The sequence below is a fragment of the Homo sapiens genome, chromosome 7, assembly GCF_000001405.40.
Source record: "Homo sapiens chromosome 7, GRCh38.p14 Primary Assembly".
Taxonomy (NCBI): domain Eukaryota; kingdom Metazoa; phylum Chordata; class Mammalia; order Primates; family Hominidae; genus Homo; species Homo sapiens.
In genome coordinates, this window is record NC_000007.14 from 99,951,392 (window position 1) to 99,953,629 (window position 2,238).

Consider the following 2,238-nt stretch of genomic DNA (forward strand, 5'->3'; position numbering starts at 1 on the left):
CAGCAACAGAACACCAAATACCACACGTTCTCACTTATAAGTGGGAGCTAAATGATGAGAACTTATGAACACAAAGAAGGAAACAACAGACACTGGGGTCTGCTTGAGGGTGGGAGGAGGGAGAGGAGCAGAAAAGACAACTGTTGGGTACTGGGCTTAATACCTGGGTGATGAAATAATATATACAACAAACCACGATGACACATGTTTACCTATGTAACAAATCTTCACACGTACCCCCAAACCTAAAATAAAAGTTTTAAAAAAGAGTTTTGTTTTCAAAATCCTTTCTTCCTAGGAGGTTGCAAATTTTACTGAATAAGAATAACCAGGGATGGGGCCTGGCACGGTGGCTCATGCCTGTAATCCCAGCACTTTGGGAGGCTGAGGCAGGTGGATCACCTGAGGTCAGGAGTTCGTGACCAGCCTGACCAGCATGGAGAAACCCTGTCTCTACAAAAAATACAAAAGTTAGCAGGGCATGGTGGCACATGCCTGCAATCCCAGCTACTCAGGAGGCTGAGACAGGAGAATCACTTGAACCCAAGAGACGAAGGTTGCAGTGAGCCGAGATTGCATCATTGCACTCCAGCCTGGGTGACAGAGCGAGACTCTATCTAAAAAAAAAAAAAAAAAAAAGTAGTTCCTTGGAAGTTAAAGGTTAAGCTTAAGGACTGATTCAAAGGCAGGTGCAAAAAATAAACCCTCTTTTGTAACCCAGAACTCATTTTTCAGTATGAGTTTTGATACATATAAGAAGGAAAGCTAGGCATGGTGGCTCACACCTGTAAACCTAGCACTTTGGGAGGCCGAGGCGGGTGGATCACGAGGTCAGGAGATCGAGACCATCCTGGTTAACATGGTGAAACCCCGGCACTACTAAAAATACAAAAAATTAGCCGGGGGTCGTGGCGGGTGCCTGTAGTCCCAGCTACTCGGGAGGCTGAGGCAGGAGAATGGCGTGAACCCAGGAGGTGGAGCTTGCAATGAGCCGAGATTGCGCCACTGCACTCCAGCCTGGGTGACAGTGAGAGGCTCCGTCTCAAAAAAAAAAAAAAAAGAAGGAATATGATACCTGAGATAGTTTAAAATAATGGAGGTATTGATAACCATAAAGGTTGGTTCCAGGACTGTAGGGTTGATCATTTAAAAGCATAGGACATAAGGAAAATCTCAGCTATGTTGATTTAGTATTCCATTGGAGGTGGAGCTTGCAATGAGCCGAGATTGCGCCCCTGCACTCCAGCCTGGGTGACAGTGAGAGGCTCCGTCTCAAAAAAAAAAAAAAAAAGAAGGAATATGATACCTGAGATAGTTTAAAATAATGGAGGTATTGATAACCATAAAGGTTGGTTCCAGGACTGTAGGGTTGATCATTTAAAAGCATAGGACATAAGGAAAATCTCAGCTATGTTGATTTAGTATTCCATTGGAGGTGGAGCTTGCAATGAGCCGAGATTGCGCCACTGCACTCCAGCCTGGGTGACAGTGAGAGGCTCCGTCTCAAAAAAAAAAAAAAAAGAAGGAATATGATACCTGAGATAGTTTAAAATAATGGAGGTATTGATAACCATAAAGGTTGGTTCCAGGACTGTAGGGTTGATCATTTAAAAGCATAGGACATAAGGAAAATCTCAGCTATGTTGGTTTAGTATTCCATTGTCATGCTTACATGATATGTCAAGACAGCTTTTCTTAAAGGCTTTTACCTTGAGAACATGATTCCTAGAGTTGTAATGGCATATCCCACAGATTTGTACTATGCTTGAGTGTGATTCCTCAGGAACGAATATGATTTGAACTCATTCACGTTTAGAGAGGGTGTCAAGTTGAAAACCAGGCAGATTCACTTACCCTAAAAATGACTCTAAAGTAAAATGATTGAAGAAATTAGATTCCAAAGATTCTGGGTGGAAATTCTGAAGTATATTTACATTCATGTGGACATAAAAGAGGCCAAAATTCAAGAACTGTGGGCTGACAGGAGAGCTGTGGATTAAGCACCAGTTCTATTAAAAGGGAGGCTGGGCACAGTGGCTCACACTTTTAATCCCAGTGATTCAGGAGGCTGAGGTGGGAGGATGGCTTGAACCCAGGAGTTCGAGACCAGCCTGGGCAATATAGCAAGACCCCATTACAGGTATGAGCCACTGCACCTGGCCTCATCTTTTAATTAGCATAAAGCCCTTAGTTCCTACAGCTTTGCTCCACAAGAGTGAAGTCAACGCTGAGCCTCAG

General features: G+C 43.5%; 1 non-coding gene across 1 annotated transcript; it reads left to right on the plus strand.

Moving 5' to 3' along the window:
* Positions 1–641: 641 nt before the first annotated feature.
* LOC124900245 (small nucleolar RNA SNORA40) lies at positions 642–767 on the plus strand. Its single transcript, XR_007060660.1, has one exon. It is a non-coding gene; the product is annotated as a small nucleolar RNA SNORA40 (small nucleolar RNA).
* The last annotated feature ends 1,471 nt before the right edge of the window (positions 768–2,238 follow it).